We start from the raw sequence: 17,966 nt of genomic DNA on the forward strand, positions 1-17,966 counted from the left end.
AACAGCTTCAGGGCTGTAGTAGATCATAAGATCCAATGATTCGTTTGATCTTTGACTCCCCATCAACAATATCTGCCCTTCAACTTGCATACCTCCAGTGACAAGGAACTCATCTCCTGCCCAGGCAGTGCCTTGCACCGTTGGATAGATCCACTTATAGGGAAGTCTTTCCATTTGCTGTGGTGAAATCAGCCTCCTTTCTCTTTAGCACAGCACATAGACCAATCTAGGCAGTTATCTAAAATGGAGTTTTCTCTACAAAGAATAAGGTTCAGGTTATTTAGCTGGAAAAAAATGTTTTTTATATAATAATTATTATTATAAAATATGAGATTGAGATCAAAACATGATGCTCATTAAGAATTCATCAAATATCTTAAGTATGAGCTAAGCTATGAGGACCCAAAGGCATAAGAATGATATAACAGGCTGGGTGCGGTGGCTCACACCTCTAATCCCAGCACTTTGGGAGGCTGAGATGGGCGGATCATGAGGTCAGGAGTTCAAGACCAGCCTGACCAACATGGTGGAACTTCGTCTCTACTAAAAATACAAAAATTAGCCGGGCGCAGTGGCACAAACCTGTAATCCCAGCTGCTCGGGAGGCTGAGGTGGGAGAATCGCTTGACCCGGGAGCCAGAGGTTGCAGTGAACCGAGATCGCGCCACTGCACTTCAGCCTGGGTGACAGGGTGAGACTCCGTCTCCAGAAAAAATTGAAAAAAGATTGATACAACAGACTTGGGGGAAAGGGTGGGAGGGAGTGAGGGATAAAAGAGTACAGATTGGGTACAGTATACACTGCTCAGGTGATGGGTGCACCAAAATCTCAGAAATCACCACTGAAGAACTTACTCACGTAACCAAATACCATCTGTTCCCCAAAAAACGTATTGAAATTATACAAATTAAAATATTTTTTAAATGATACCTCAAAAAGAATTTATCAAATAGATTATTCTATGCTGAGTTCGATGATAGAAATATTCCTTACTTTATTTTTCCCAAATCAAGATGATCAACTAACTCTTAAGATCTTTAGCCCAAGAAGGAATGGGTGAGGAGTAGCCTGCTTTCTCAGCAGTAGAATGTTTCTAGAAAGAATGCAGAAGAACTTGCTGAAGAAGATGGATCTCTGAAAAATCATTCCTTTCTGCTTTTGCACTGCAGATTCTGCCATTCAGTTCTCGGAACACACCTAGTATTAACAGTTGTTGTTGATTTTCTACTTTCAGAATCTAAGTCATTCATGTTATTCTGCAGTCTCAAAAGGTACTGGGACACCTGGGCAGGAAAGAGTTTGTGCTTGGAAATTTTCTTCAGTGTCCAGAATTACTGTGGAATGCTGAATTGCCAGTAATTGCCTTTGAGTAATTTCACTGAGCTGCCAAACTGTCATTGTAAAATCAGCTTCTGTCTTTTCCGTTGATGTAAGAGAAATACAATTAGATCATCATCACCTTCCCTTTCTCCAAGCAATCCCAATTGGTCTTTGAACAATTCTCTAAACCTTGTATAAGAAAGAAAAGAGAAGTAAGCTGCTTTTGCCTAGGATGCAGTAATGGGTTTAGACCTTCTAACAACATGTTTAAATGAAACACTGAAATAGTTGCCTAATTTCCTATTTTATATCTTCTTTCATTATCAGAAGTGTTTGGTTCAACATCTGGATTATAGGCCTCCATAAAACCAAATAGATGGCTGGGTACGGTGGCTCACTCCTGTAATCCCAGCACTTTGGTAAGCCTAGGTGGGTGGATCACCTGAGGTCAGGAGTTTGAGACCAGCCTGGTCAACATGGCGAAACCCCATCTCTACTAAAAATACAAAAAATTAGCTGGGCATGGTGGTGGGCACCTGTAATCCCAGCTACTCGGGAGGCTGAGGCAGGAGAATCACCTGAACCCGGGAGGCCGGGGTTGCAGTGAGCCGAGATCGTGCCATTGCACTCCAGCCTGGGCAACAAGAGCAAAACTCCATCTCAAAAAAAAAAAAAAAATCATATAGACCATAGTCAATTGTAACAGAAAAGAAACTGGTTATCAGTATTACAAACAGCAGAAGGAAAACCAACAGACATCCACAAGGCAGTAAGATGTGCTGTCTCAGAAGCCACACAAGCAAAAAGAATCCTCATCTCCATTAGGTTCTTTGAGGTTCCTGTGTGCTGAAATTGAGTAATGTCCTTAGAAAATCCAATTCACCACAGTAAGCCAACATTTTGAATCAATTCTAAACCACGATGTTGTAACAGACGGCACTATTTTACCTCATTCCTTTGCAATGTTTCCATTAGTGAACTGATACCTTCATATTTCATCACTTTTAAAACCATACTTGCAGCTCTGCTATTTGGAATTCCAAGATTGCATGCATGCCCTCACTGCACAAAAATTCTCTCACTAAGAAATAATGTACAACTCCAACATCACCATTTTGGGAATAGGAGCCTTCCCTCAGCCTGTTCATTGGAGCTCCTCCTTTTCACCCTGCCTGTTCACATAAGTTCCAGTAAAGTGGACTCTTCTACCCACAAGTTAATCTACTCGTGTTCCAAGCTGATGGCCATCTTATCTGTGAGTCAATGGAATGGATTCAGATACTCTCTTTTTACCATGTCTAAGCTGGATAAAATCATCTAAGACCATAAACCAAGGCCCATGATATCTTCTAGAACTTCCTTTGAAACTCTATAAGATGCCCTCTTGATTGGAAAGGAATGAGGAAGGCAACTGAAACAATTCAGTTTTTCACTTTATGGACATAATTTTCTGTAACAAGATCAGCCGGCCATGCAGCTACAAGGTTTTTAGAGGGAGGCTACTTTAGTTTCTGTTTCACAACAATCCTGATGGTAGTTTGACTTGTTACTGAAAAGATGCACAAGATTGGCACTTTCATTAAAGACAGTTTGCAATGGGCAGCCAGCAACAAGCCAATCATACCCAAGAGGAGCAGACATAGCAACTGTAGCCTCTGGGTTAGGCTATAAAATTGGCATCCAGTTATTGGAGTCATGTTTCCACTGCAGGTGGAAGGTCACACTTAGTTTCTCCCTGGTGAGGCTGGCCAGCAGGGAGGTGACAGAGCCTAGTCGCTGTCACTTCTTTCACCGAGCACACCTTCTCCTCCCATCTCCCCAGAATGGCTGGAGTGTCCCTGCTGGCTCCTTTGCCACAGAGGCACCAACTTTCCATGAAGCTGCCCCTGGAGACCTTATGGAGGGCTTTGCTCGCAGAAATTCCTTGCCACTCCAGCCTCAGAGCCTGCCTCCAGAGCCTGGTGCCTCACCTGGGAGCCCAGACCACCCTCAGCCCCTGTGATCCCCATTCCTAGGCCAAGAACTGGGTAGTGTGTCCCAATAGGAAAACACTGCAAGAGATGGGACCCTTCCCATGCCCCACGCATGCCCCCAGGTGAGAGGCATTTGTCTTCCTCCAGCATCAGGTGGAAACCCTCACCTAGCAAACCCATGAACCTCACCCATGGGAGCAGCCAGTTCCGTGAGGAAGGTTATCACAACTACCAAGCAAACAGCATGGGCTCGAGTCTGTGAAGGAGAAAGGGGGAGATTGTTGCGTGGGGGTTGCCTATTGTGTGCAGGCAGTTTTGCGGACACGTCATGGCCTCATCTTTCTCATCTATCCTGAGAGCTTTGCTTAGGCTCATACTCAACTAGAGTCCCAAAGTTTCAGAGCTGGAAGGAACCTGCAAATTGCTTTAGTCCCTGGTTTTCTGTGCCCTGGCAGAGCCATGGGACTTTGTGGAAGTGCCTTCGGGCTGGTAGGTGAGGACAGAACAACTCTACTTCAAGCATTTATTAAAATTAAAATTAAATTGTAATTATAAAAGTAATATATGAATATAGTTTTCATTGCCTCATGTGTCCTATTTCCTCTTTAATTATTTTTGTTAGAGTAGGTCCTCCAGTCATATTTTCACAGACTGTCTGTAGATGGCAAACTTTCTGAGACCCTGGATTTTTTAAAATGTTTTTATTTTCTTATTTGGTTGAGTATAGAATTCTGGGTTGAAAGTCATTTGCCCTTGATGATTTGAAGATGATCACCATCATCTTCCAACATCCGGTGTTGTCAGCACAAAGTCAGATTCACTCTGGTTCTCACTCTATTGGAGGTCATCTGATTTTTCTCTTTGGCAAATTTGGGGATTTATTGTTCTTTATTCTTGGTGTTTAAAAATTCCTCTGCATTGTTACTAAATGTGGATTATTGTTTCTATTTTATTTTTATTTTTTAATTTATTTTTATTTATTTATTATTATTTTTTGAGATGGAGTCACGCAGTGGTGCGATCTTGGCTCACTGCAACCTCCTCCTGGGTTCAAACGATTCTCCTGCCTCAGCCTCCTGAGTAGCTGGGATTACAGATGCACACCACCACACCCAGCTAACTTATGTATTTTTAGTAGAGACGGGGTTTCACCATGTTGGCCAGGCTGGTCTCAAACTCCTGACCTTGTGATCTGCCCACCTCAGCCTCCCAAAGTGCTGGGATTACAGGCCTGAGCCACCAAGCATGGCCAATGTGAATTATTTTTTAAATGTATTCTTTCATTTATCCTTCTTGGTACTCTATGGACTTTTTTTGGGGGGAGGGGTGCCTTTTAATCTGGAGACTTCTGTGTTTTTTCAGAAAATTTAAACACTGCATTCCTTCTTTCTCTTTATTCTCTCCTCTGCCACTCCAATTAAACCGATGTTGGAACTTCTGATTGTGGCTTCTATCTCTCTTACTACTTTGTCATTCTGTCTAGGTCTTTTTACCCTCTTGTGTTGCTTTCTGGGAGAATTCTGTAGCTTGATCTCTGTATTAATTCTCTCTTTAGGTGTGTCTATTCTGTTATGCAGTCCTTCTGCAGAGTTCTGCATTTCGACAGTTTTCTATTTATAATTTCCAAGATCTCTAATTGGTTCTTTATCATAACCACTGTTTTTATTTCATAATAGCTTGTCTTTGTGTCATGGCTATGTTATCCTACCTTTTCTCTGTGAGAATGTGTGTCTTATACTCAATGTCCTGATTGAATTGTTTTCTTAACTCCATTTCCTTGGATGTAAATTCTGTAGTTGACTTAGTTGTTTCTCACAGTATTGCCTTGCCTCAGATGTTTGTGTTTCTTTCTTGTGTGTTTACTTGTGAAATTGGGATCCTGCCTGAGTCTGTTTTCTGCCTCTGTTGGTGCAGACTGTTGGGAGGTGGGCAGTAGCCCCTTCTGAGACATGCAGGGTTCAGGAAGGGGATGGAAGGAATAAGATGTGCCATCAGGCAGGGCACCTCAGCAGCTGATCTTCCGCGTGTAGGGTGCCCTTGGACCTCACAGAGTTTCCTAGTCATCTGGGGCTCTGCCCTATGTCTTTAGCCCAATAAACAACTGTTGTTTTCTAAAATTAAGGTATCCATATTTTCTCCTTGGCAGGAGTGAGGGTGGGAGGGGAGGGGAGATGGGCAGGGCTGGACAGCTAGCCTGCTGCAGAATTTCAACCTATCTACCTTCTGGGGCCCAGGGGCCACATCATGCACCTGACTTCCATCACAGCTTCACAGCAGACTTTTCTCCCTGTGGTTTCTCTTGATGGCTGAGGCCCCTGTCTTCAACTTCCCTGTTTTCCCCTTGGCATTTCTATTTTGGATTTAATGCCACTCCCCATCTTATTTTTGAGCACGGCTATTTTAGAACTATCCATTCTCTCATTTCCATGGATTTGATATAAGGAGGAGACTGTAGCCCAGGAACAAAAATGACTGGGGGGAAGGACATAGTCTTTGATGGCTGGTACATCAGCATCTCTCTCAGGACCTCCTGTGTGGCATGCAATTGCTGACTTCATCTCTTGCAGGTGCATTTGTGGTTTCCTCAGAGATTCTCCATCTGGGGGCCCCCTACCACAGTCCTCTGATGTAGGCCACTGTCCTCATTGCTGACCACTCCTGACCGCCCACCTGCTTTGGTCCTCTCCTCTGCTTGGAGCTCACAGCCGACTCCTTTCTGTGACATCTGCATCTAACCCCCCAGGAAACTGTAGTGTGGTCCCCACTGGGTGTGGACATGCAACCTGCCCTAATGCAACCTCCTCCCCAATTCTGTCTTCTGGGGACTACTCCAGCCAGCTTTGGGTCTTTAGATCTTTCCACAAGAGAGCCAGTCATCATCCCCCATATATCCAAAAGTCTAGGGGATACATTTCAGATCATGAAGCCCCTTCCCTCGCTTTAGAGTGGGTGAAGTACCCTCTACCTCCGTCATGGGAAGGGTGGGGAAGGGGACCACTCCAGTCCACTGGCAGCTCTCCAAGCGAAATCTTCTATGATCTCTCCCTCATTAATCTTTAACTTCTCTGGTTTACTCTTGCAGTAGGTGATGAGCTGATGGTTGAAAAGTGGGTTTCACAAGCTTTCAGCATGACCTGCCCAACAGACTGGCACCTATTGTAATGTGTTTGGTTTGGAGACACCAATCTGAGACAGAAAGAGTCCTATTTTAATATCCTATTTCCTTGGAGTCCATAATTGTGCATTGTCTTCAGAACACACCTCATGACATATGCATTAATTGGTCCATGTTTTTGTTTTTGTTTTTTTCAGGGAGCAAGAGGGCCTAATGGCTCAGTTGGTGAAAAGGTAAAAAAAAAAAAAAAAAAAAAAAAAAAAGAACTTTCTTCTCCCTCCTCCCCTTTCTTTGAGTTTACTATAATTGGACTGCTGGGCTGGAATATTGAACATATAAATGTCATGGAACAGAGAGGAACACATCTCAAAGGAATTGCTCAGAGAAGGCAGAACAGCTGGGGATGGTGGGGAGTAAACACACTTCAATGTTTTCTCCTTCCTCACCCCTCCCTCCAAATGCATTCAAATGAGTGCATCAGCTTATCTCCAGGTGAACTGTCAATTAGCAAGACAGCTGTTTCTGTACCATTAAGTGGTACCGATCAGAGAATTCATCAACCTAATTAACTTCAAGGAGTGATTTTCTGATTCAGGCATGCATGTTGTTCCTTCCATGAGTGAACCCAGGGCTAGATAATCAGCCTGCCCTCTTTCCTACAGGGTGACCCTGGCAACAGAGGCTTACCTGGACCCCCGGGGAAAAAGGGACAAGCTGGCCCTCCTGGGGTCATGGGACCCCCAGGGCCTCCTGGACCCCCTGGGCCCCCAGGCCCTGGATGCACAATGGGACTTGGATTCGAGGTACTTTTCCCCTTTTCTGTGGTTATAAAAATGATGTGTACTAAGGGCTACTAGAAAGACCAGCTAGCTAAACCCTGGTCTCAGGGCAGAGGCTGTGCGGATTCCCCTGTGAGCCGCCAGCTTCCAACACCACACCTGGCACAAGTAGGTGCCCAGGAACTGGATCTGAAATTCTCATTCTTGCTCCTTCCCCAGGATACCGAAGGCTCTGGAAGCACCCAGCTATTGAATGAACCCAAACTCTCCAGACCAACGGCTGCAATTGTAGGTCGCCTCTGAAACCTTCATTATGAGGGTTGTCACACTGTCACACTACAGTGAGGAAGCTGTGGGCTGCATCCCGGCTCTGCCACTTTCAATAACTCACCTTCTCTGTGCCTCCAGCCCCCAACTGTGCAATAGGGAAATGAGATGCTCTTTACAGCTTGTGTCTTTGAGGAACAGCATAGAAGTTTTGCAGAAAACATGATGTGGGAAGAGAACTTGAAAATCATTTTTATCTCTCTTCATCTATTTCTCTCTCTCCCTCTGCCTCTTCTGTCTCTTACCACTAAGCATCTCTACTTTATTTCCTCCCTCCAGTTGCCCCATTCAATGCACACACTTTGCCCCAGGTCAAAGCCCTGTGCTCCTGGCAGGTGCCCCTCCCTACTGCCTCCAGCCCCTGGCAGGTGTTGTCCATCTCCTGCCATGAAGCGATGCCGGCTCTCAGGAGGACCGATCCCCTGGATTTCATTCTCTTTGTTAAATGGGCCCCAGAGCTGAGCCCTTCAGTCTAGCACAGATTCAGGGTCAAGAGGACCCTCACCCAATGCTGGGAGAGGGCCGCTGATTCTCTCACTCTGTGGAGTGTTGCTTCCTTCTGACTCCAGAAGGGGCATTTTTCGCTTATTCTTGGTTCCCATTGCCTGGGACAAAATAAGCATAAAAGCTTAGGGGGAGATGGTGAGACAAGAGGCTAGATGGAGGTGAGCAAAGTGACTAGAAGAATATTTATTTTTGTTTATTTTTCCAGGGTCTCAAAGGAGAGAAAGGAGACCGGGGACCCAAGGTGAGGTCACAGAGCCAAGGTGGGGGTGGGAGGGCTTTCCAGCCTGGTTCTGGGAGCATTATCGCTGTACAGTGAATTTTTTTCTCACTTCTTGCTGCTTTGACCAGGGAGAAAGGGGGATGGATGGAGCCAGTATTGTGGGACCCCCTGGGCCGAGAGGGCCACCTGGGCACATCAAGGTCTTGTCTAATGTGAGTATCATTCAGGTCAGAGCTTGTCTACATATTTTCCACCTTTGCCAAAGGGAGGAGAAGGTTGTCCATGACTTCAAAGCTTCTGGCTATGCAGGAGGCATGTAGCCAGTGCCTGGTGTTAGAACTTCCACCTGCCAGCACCTACCTGTTCCTCCCCCAGTTCCACTGTTCTCTCACATGGTGCTTCTAGATTTGTCTCTTCTGATTAGCAGCATTTGGGGTCAATTGAAAAAACAGGCTAGGAGCATTAGAGATGTTGGGGTCTTGAGGAAGCCCCAGATAAGCAGTGCACACTTTCCCCAGCCAAGTGCAGAGCACATTGAGAAATAAAGCCAAAGATGAGGAGGTAGGCCCAGATACCACCTTGATTACTGATGGAGGTTAGGTGGAAGGCCTTCACCCAGTGGGAGAGCCACATGTTCCTGCCAATCAGACGGACTTGCCCATGGGTTGCCAGATGTGCTTCCCAGAGGCAGGCAGATCTGAAGGAAAGAAGTGTGGCTGAGCTGGGCATGCCCCTTGGTGCTTCCCAAACTGCCCATCAGGAAGGTCCCTCCACCTCACCACGGAGGGGGTACAGGAGCCAAGAGAAGCCAAGGATTACACCCTTCATGTCACAGGAAACATCTTTATGTGCTCCCTTTAGATGGCTCTTTGATAGTCTATTAAAACTAAAACTAAAAATACCCATTCTCCAAAATCCCACATGGGAAGATGTCCACACAAATGGAGGAAAGCATCCTCTTCCCAACTCTCCTCAACAAGGAAGGCAGTAACTTCATCCTTCAAACCCCCATCATGGTACAGCAAGTGGCCTATTTACATGTCTGACTCCTCCACCTGCCCTCTGGGGCTTTTTTTCTTCTCTGTATCCCCACCACTGGCCTCATAGTGCTGGTTTAATCAGTGTTTGCTGAATGAAATGTTTGGTGTCATTGAATTCTCTATTCCTATGATAAATACTCTGGCATAAGCACTCATGGGCATGCACTCTGCATCAGGTCCATGCTAGGCTCTGTGGGTATAAAGATAAGTAAGGCCAGGCACAGTGGCTCACACCTGTAATCTCAGCACTTTGAGAGGCCGAGGCAGGAGGACTGCTTGAGCCCAAGAGCTTAAGACCAGCCTGGGCAACATAGCAAGACCCTGTCTCTGATATTAAAAAAGTTTCTATTTTAAAAAATTAAAAATAAAGATAAGTAAGACAGAGTTCCTGTCTTCAAGGAGCCTCCAGTGAGGTCAGGAGAAGGGCTGTAACAGAGCTGTAACTGACAGGCAAATGAACATAAAGAGGGGAACAAGGGAGAAAAGACTGTTTGGGTTATGAGGAATCAAGGAAGACTTCCTAGAGGAAGTATCTTTGAGCAGGGATTGGAAAGCTGAGAAGGATTTTACCAGGTAGGCACGGAGGACAGAACTTCCAAAGCTCTAGTGTCAGGGATGCCCTGAGCCAAAGCAGAGGGTAGGACAATGTGGTGTGCTCCAGGTCGAGGGAGCTGACTGGCAGAGGATAGTGCACATGGGTGTGTGTAGAGAATGATGGAAATTGGAGAGAAGGCTGGAATGTGGGCTGGGACCAGATCGCATGCATTTAATATTAAGACATCACATCATGAAAAATCCTGGCCCTTTAGAGAGAAATAACATCATGCTGGTAGACCACAGAAAGACAAGCCCCAAATAACTGGAAAAAGGATGACTAAAGTTAGAAGAAAAAAAAAACACGATTTTTAAAAATCAAATATGTGTAAGGGTGTGGGGAAAAAGGTAATCTCATGTGCTTCTGGTGGAAGTGTAAATTGGCCCCTTTGGATGGCTCTTTGGCAGTCTTTTAAAGCTAAAAATATTCATATTCCAAAATTCCACATGGAAAGATCTCCACACAATATGGCCGAGTGAAAAAAGCAAGTTGAGGAGTAATACAGCCTGATGCCATTTATGTAAAATAACCACATGGACAAACACACACACCCCAACACTGTGCTTTCTGTGGGTGCATATAATATGTATATGTTTAAACTCTAAAAAGAGAAGACATTCGTATATTGTGTGATTTAAAAATTAAGTAAAGGAGGAAAGTGCGAAGGCAGCTCAGAGCTGTTTTATAAGAAGGGGGAGGGAGAGCTGTGTTTGGCAGTGGGCTGAGGGCGTTCTCAGTGTCTGCGGTGTTCCGCTATGCTGGGTGACTTTAATTAAAGCTTTGCTGCCAGGAACAAGGCAGAACACATGCCATCCTTTGTCCTCATTGTCTGATTTTTCTCTTTTCAGTCCTTGATCAATATCACCCATGGATTCATGAATTTCTCGGACATTCCTGAGCTGGTGGGGCCTCCGGTTGGTATCTACAGCTGCCCCAGAATGTGGCTTTTACCCAGACGCCCCTGTTGAAACAAAGTCGGGTTACTTTGGAATCCTTTTAGCTCCTGAAGCGTAGAGCTAGAATATATCAAAGTAGAATGGAAAGAAAGCTTTGCATTTTTTGAAAAGTTGCTTTCACATTAATTTGATCATGTGGAAAGTTGTCTCCAAAGCAGTGGAAGCTTCCAGTCCTGTGCACCGGCAATATGTGTCATGGAAATTAGAGAATGCTAAGTAACAAACAGATGACATCTGTTGCACACTTTTGGCCTGCTTTTATTTACATTATCTTATTTCATAGTATAGGAAGAGCCTGGAGACACCTTTCCTTGTGCTCAAGGGAAACGAGGAAGAAATGGACTCATTCTAGTCTTTATAGCCCCATTTTAGAACTCTGGAAATTATCTGTGTGTTAATTTCCAGATCTCTAAAATGGGATTATAATGTATATAAGAAATACACATTATTTTTGGCCAGAAGTGGTGGCTCACGCCTGTAATCCCAACACTTTGGGAGGCTGAGGCAGGCAGATCATGAGATCAGGAGTTTGAGACCAGCCTGGCCAACATGTTGAAACCCTGTCTCTACTAAAAATACAAAAATTAGCTGGGCATGGTGGCATGTGCCTGTAATCCTAGCTACTTGGGAGGCTGAGGCACGAGAATCACTTGAACCTGGGAGGCGGAGGTTGCAGTGAGCCAAGATCGCACTACTGCACCCCAGGCTGGGTGACAAAGTGAGACTCTATCTCAAAACAAACAAACAAAAAAAACCAAAATATACATTATTTCTGCAAGTTGGCAGAGTTGACTCATGGCACAATGGCCCTAAGATGAAGGAAGCTTCCTCCTACAGCCTGTAGAATAAATACTCATTGCATCTCCCAGCATCTGCTGGTCAGCACAGGAGAAAGGAAGGAGCTCTGGCCTTAGGAGCCTTGAGGTTGCAGCCCCATCTTCTCCACACACCACTCTGAGCCCCTAATTCTCTTCTCTGATGACACCTCACCAGCCTTTGAGGCAACTTGTAAGAAGTGAGGGATGTGAAACTGCTTAGCACACTGTGACGCTCTGTGCAAGTCATTGTGGAGACAGGTTTATGCCTTCACAGCTGTGCAATGCCGATGTCCCTGCCTCTCCTGCAGATCCCCATGAGGTTGCCCTGAATCCCATTCATCCAGATCCAGGGGAAAATCTAGTGCTGCCCCAAGATTCCTGCAAATATCTGCAGACTCTTCTGGCACCAGGTTTCTCCCCTGCTGAGTGACCTCATTGTGAGCCATCTTCCTGTCTCCTCTGTACTGCATCCATTTGATTTCTATGAAAACCAATAATCCAAAATACCTCAATAATGAAACCCTAGAGCAAACCAGCTAACAAGTGAAAGTTTCTTCCCAAGGGGTCTTTGTTTTCCCCAAGCTATTGGAGGTTTCTGATATTAGGTGGGTGGATACTGAAGCAAAACACAGAGAGACTAAAACCAGAGATTGGGCATCCCTGTCCTCACAGTCCCTGGGCCTTGTCTGCCTGCATTACCATGCCTCCACCCCTTCTCTCTCTTCCTTGCTTTCTTTCCAGTCACTGTCCTCCCCTTGGCAAATCCAGACCCTCACAGGGCCCCTTCTTCCCTAATGCTGTGTCAATCCGTCTTCCCAGCTGTGGGAACATGCTGAGGCCTTTGGAAGGGGCTGGGAGGGAGGGGGTCCTGCTGACTCTGGAAATGCCGCTCCTAATCCAGCGTGCTCTATCTTTGGTGTGTCACAGGGGCCGGACGGGTTGCCTGGGCTGCCAGGATTTCCAGTAAGTACCACCCTCGCTGTCTTCTATCTGTGCCCCGTGGCTGCGATCATTCTGTTCCTTCCACCTAGAATGGCATTTCCTCCATCTATGCATGACTGAGCTCCAGGGGCATCTTGTTCATTAACTTTTTCTTGATATTTTTGATAGATATGGGGTTTTGCCATGTTGCCCAGGCTGGTCTGGAACTCCTGAGCTCAAGAAATCCATCTGCGTCAGCCTCCCAAAGTGCTGGGATTACAAGCATGAGCCCCTGAGCCTGGCTGATTTTCTGAACTTTTTACATTTTCTAAAGGCACATATCATATGATAACACTAAAAATAGTGCTAACTAGACGTTAAAAAACAAAAGAGAGAATGGCAACCATGACCACGATTGTGACCATGACTCTGACCATGATTCTTGGTTAGCAGAAGAAAAGGCCAAACCCCTAAGCTCCAGCCCCGGCTTGGCTGCTCCAAGACCTGGGGCACATTTCAGAGCACACTTTCCTCTAAATGAGTGGTCCTGTGTTCCTGAGGGAGTCCCAGGCTCTGCAGGAGAGCCTCCAGGACCTCCACTGCAGGGAGTAAGGAGGGGGCCAAATAGGCACATTCCAGGCCACTGACCTTCAATAAGGGAAGCTTCACTGGACATATTTGTATATATTAGGCTTTCATTTAAGACTTTATTTGGGGGAAAAAAAAGGAAGGAAAAGAGTTTCACTGCTAAACAATAATAACAAATAGTTGAAAGCCACTGCTGTAATGGGTAATTCACTCTTTCATCCAGACAAGACAGGAACTTGTGAAAAGTTAAAATAGCAATAAAGTGTTGAAATGCCTTTTTGAGGCAGATGTGGCTGTGTGAGTCATTGTCACAGGCATTCAGTGTCTGTTGGAGTTGAGAAGAGGTTGCCTCTGGCTGCATGTGTGGATTTGGCTCTGCAGAGGGGTGGGTGGGCATTCCTATGGGGGGGGTGGCATGAGTGCTGGTGCAGAAGCAATGGAGGAGTGCAGAGAGGCTGCGGGAAGGGAGTCAACCTGATGGTGTGGGAGATGAGATGTTGATGCCTGGCTGGGATGGGCTGGGGTGCCAGGCTAAGGTACCTGGGTCCCATCTCATAGGTAGTGGGGAGCCAGAGAAGGGGTGGGAGTCGTGGAAGGGGATAGTGGAGGAGGCGGGCTGCAGGGTGGCCTGGAGGAGCCGTGGGGCAAGCAGATGCAGCAGGCCCAGATAATAGGCTGGATCAGTAGTGCCCAGTTGGAGGAAACCAATGTTCAAAAAAGTGTGAAGCCTCAAGGCCTCTTAACACTCAGTGCTATCTTCTTTCTGCCAGACCACAGTTTCTGGACCACTTAAGGTTAAGAAAATGTCATAGGTAATCATGACTTCCACCTACCTGGGGGATGGCAGTGTGTATTCTACTGTTGAGAAAAAATATATTTCTGATTGGTTTATGCATTTTAATCTTAACGAACAACCAAATACTATATAACAATTCCTTCCAGGGTCCTAGAGGACCAAAAGGTGACACTGGTTTACCTGGCTTTCCAGGACTAAAAGGAGAACAGGTAAGAGGGGCCCAGGTATCTGAGTGAGATTGGGCGCTGGAATTTGCTAAACGTTTCAGATTGGCTGAAAATAGCTATTAACTTTTCTCTTCTTTGAGATACAATTCACATGCCATAAAATTCACCCCTTTAAATTGTACAATTCAGTGATTTTTGGTGGGCTCATAAGGTTGTACAACCTCATGAACCACTCTGTAATTCTAGAACATTTTCATCATACCAGAAAGAAACCCCATACTTATTAGCGGTCACTCTCCAGCTGTTAACTTTTTTAATCTCCAGGTTCTCTATGAGACGAGAAGGTACGAAGTGGGTAGTGAAATTGATTTTTACCATAATTTGGAAAGAGAACTCAACTCAACACTCCTTTGTTCTCACACACACTGTGCTTTGTCTAACCACCTGCTGGGCATCCCCCTTAGAACATGCACTGCCTGAGGACAGGCATCCTGCCAGCTTCTTTTCCATAGCTCCAATACTAATATGGGGCCTGGTATACAAATGGTACTGAATACACTTGTTGGACGAAAGCATGTATAATTAATGAGTAGAACAAATGTTAATATTTATAAATTATAAATTGAGCATTCTGCAGTTGAACAACAGTCTTGGTCCAAAGTCTCTGGAATAAATACTTAGCACACAGAACACTTCCTGAGAACTCCCAGGGTACCAAACCTATTGTTGTGCTTGTATTCTTTTGTGTTTGCCTCTTAGAATTAACTTTCCAGTTGGTTTTTATAGATAAGGGGGAGAGTGACGTCCATAAACAGATTAATATATTCACTCGTCCATGTATATACTCATCCATCTTTCGTCCACTGACCCGTGTGGTGTGCCAGGCAGTTTCCTGTGCTAGGCGTAGGGATATAGAAATAAGATGAGGAAGAGATATGCAAAGAGCTAACAGAGCACATGCTTACAGCTGGAATGGAGCTCTGTGCAAAGCCAGTGGGAGCACTGTGCAACCCCCTGAGCCTGCCATGGGGAGTCAAGGAGGGTGGGTGTGCTCTGTGGGATGGGGGAACTCCTCTCGTTCTTCTCTCCCCCCATCATTCTATAATATAATGGTCTCCAAGGAGGAGAGGGCCTCCAATATCTAGTGGGCCACTGCTCCAGGGCATGGAGGGCTCGGTATGCTGGGTGAAGGTTTGGCATCACGTGGGGATGTGTCTTGGGATGCTTTTCCTGCCACAGGCCTGTGGAGATGGACCAGGGCTGGCCAGCTCAGGCTTGGGAGGAGGCCCAGGGAAGCAAGAGCACCTCTTGCTTTAAACACTCTGTTTAAACACTCTGTTTCCTATGTGGTAAGGTCAGATGGATCTAGAGGGACGGACATGACATCCCCGCCCTAACCTCCTGCCACCTTGAATGACTGGTCCAGGCAGCCGGGCAGTTCTGCTCTGGCCATTGCAGTGAACGTGCTTTCTCTCACTCTGCCTCTAATGCTTTTGTGCTTGCTTCTTCTCCCTGCTGGCGTGCTCAGGACTACCTTTCCTCATCAGTGGAGTGGTAAGATCTAAATACCAGGTGTGGGCTTAGGGGGATGGAAGAAAGAGGCTGCTCTGCTTGCTTTGATGCTACTGTCCTAGCTACTCCCAGCCCCATTGAAAAGAGACTTCTGTGTGGCTCAGCCCTGCTCCCCAGGGGCCAGCATTGAAGTTTAGGGCCAAAGCCTCAGAGTCAGATAGAAGGTTTCTGCACCCAGTCTTGTTCTCTTGACAATCATCTTCTCAGCAGCCTCTAGCATAGTAGATGTCTCTGCTGAGGACAGGATTGGGGTCAGGATCCTGTGTTCTTGCCACCAGTCTACCCATCACTCATTCCTAATGTCTGGGATAGCTTTGCCTAACTAAGTAAGTGTTTGCACAGGAGCTTAGAGTTTGGAGGCAACGTTGCATATGGAGACATAAGGCCTCCATGTTGACAGAGGCCTCTAGTTTTTATACCGTCATCTCTTTCCTAATTTCAGGTGTTTTAACAAGAATAAGTATTCTTGGTGGGAACAGATCTCAGGTTGAGTTGCTAGGAAAGCAAGCTGTCAAATACATTGGGAGCCAGAGCTTCCTTGAGGGCACCATGTGGCAGGAGATAGACAGGACCACACTGGGGCTGGATCCTGGAGGGTTGAGAGTGAGGATGCAAATCTGTTATCAGTGGGAGCCTGAAGGGGCATGGAAGACAGGACTGTCCTGTGCCTTAGGACGGTAACTCTGATGGTGCATAGAGGGAATGGCTGAGAGAACATTCATTCATTTAGGAGGCTGTTGCAATACTCTAGTACGAGGTAATTTTGGAGCAGTGGGGTTTCAAGTAGGATGAAGGCAAGAGAAATAAATCATGGCTGCAGGACTCAGAGGTCTCTGTACAAGGTGGCAAGGAGGAGTCTCTGTACAAAACTCTCTGGACAAGGTGGCAAGGAGGAGTCCTGACTTCATTGAGATGTTCTCTGAATTGCAGGGCGAGAAGGGAGAGCCGGGTGCCATCCTGACAGAGGACATTCCTCTGGAAAGGCTGATGGGGAAAAAGGTAATTATGTCACCAGACCCTGCAGGCACATATCTGCCCCAGCTTTGCATCTTTGTTTCTGTCCCAAACAGTGACAAGTATATATCTTCCTGTTTTAGGGTGAACCTGGAATGCATGGAGCCCCAGGACCAATGGTAAGTCAGAGCGTCTCTCAGCTGGATCTGGGCTGGGGTTTGAAGCATTTTTCATACTTTGATTTGGTTAGATTTAGTTGTCCCGGTTATGAAAATTCAAAGATGTGGCAAAGATGTGCAAAATGTGCATATACTAGGGTAAGGCTGACTACAATTAAATAAACTTTTCAGTGATTTAACACAATAGCAGCTTATTTCTCGCTCTTGCAAATTCCACTGTGGTTGTTCTCAGCTTGGCATCTCTCCTCCAAGAAGTGACTCAGGGATCCAGGATGCTTCCATTCTGTGATTCTGCCATCTTGTGGATTCAAGGTCGCACAGGAGCTAGCAGGCTGAAGTTGGGGAGGGGGAAGAGATTGTGAAAGATAATAAACATCACTTCTGGCACATTCTGTAAGCCAAAACCCAGACGCTTGTGGCCTCAAAATGTAGTTTAGCTGTGTGTCCAGGAAGGAGAGGTGCACTTGCAGTTATACCACAGAACTTGCCAGCTAAAGATGACCAATTTCCCAGGAAACCCTCAAAGGAACCCCACAAAACCTCTCTGGGATTTTTGATTCTGGTTGTGAATATGCCACTCATTTGCTGTGAGACCTTGTGCAAGCCCTCTTCTCTCTCTGGGCTCCTGTTTTCCCATCTGCACATTGAAGAGACTGAATTAGTACTAAATGATATTAGGGCCCTTCTGGCCTTACGGCTCTGGGAATCCATAACCCATCTGGGCTTCTGAGCAGCTCTTGCCATTTCTCTCAAGGGCGAACCCTAAACTTACTTCCCTGTGTAGAACATTCTCTATGGGTCAGACTGTACTGATGCTTCACATAGGTCATCTCATTTCATCTTCACAACCCCAAGAAGTGACTCTCAGAATCCCCATTTTATAGATGAGGAAACTAAGGCCCAAGGAGGTTAAGTAACCTGCCCATGTGACACAGCTTGTAAGTGGCAGAGTGGGGATTTGAGGCCAGCCAGTCAGGCTTTAGGTCCAGTCTCTTCTCAGATGAACCTCACTGCCTCTAATGAACATTTGAAACATTGAACATTTGAAACATTTTGGGCTAGAGAATTGTATACAGGTTTGTTTGGTTGAAGTTGGATCTCAGGTGTGGGGAGAAAGGACCTCACATTTCTGTAACAGA

General features: G+C 45.9%; 1 protein-coding gene across 1 annotated transcript in view; it reads left to right on the forward strand.

Annotated features, from left to right (window-relative positions):
- Positions 1–17,966, forward strand: part of COL15A1 (collagen type XV alpha 1 chain) — a 126,881-nt gene that overhangs the window by 84,037 nt on the left and 24,878 nt on the right. The window contains exons 17-26 of the mRNA NM_001855.5: positions 6,606–6,641; positions 7,071–7,211; positions 7,407–7,475; positions 8,227–8,262; positions 8,370–8,453; positions 10,725–10,790; positions 12,578–12,613; positions 14,102–14,164; positions 16,625–16,693; positions 16,792–16,827. Coding sequence (NP_001846.3) covers positions 6,606–6,641; positions 7,071–7,211; positions 7,407–7,475; positions 8,227–8,262; positions 8,370–8,453; positions 10,725–10,790; positions 12,578–12,613; positions 14,102–14,164; positions 16,625–16,693; positions 16,792–16,827 — 636 coding nt within the window. The remainder of the gene's footprint in view (positions 1–6,605; positions 6,642–7,070; positions 7,212–7,406; positions 7,476–8,226; positions 8,263–8,369; positions 8,454–10,724; positions 10,791–12,577; positions 12,614–14,101; positions 14,165–16,624; positions 16,694–16,791; positions 16,828–17,966) is intronic.

Source organism: Homo sapiens, chromosome 9, assembly GCF_000001405.40.
Source record: "Homo sapiens chromosome 9, GRCh38.p14 Primary Assembly".
In the NCBI taxonomy this organism is placed as follows: Eukaryota; Metazoa; Chordata; class Mammalia; order Primates; family Hominidae; genus Homo; species Homo sapiens.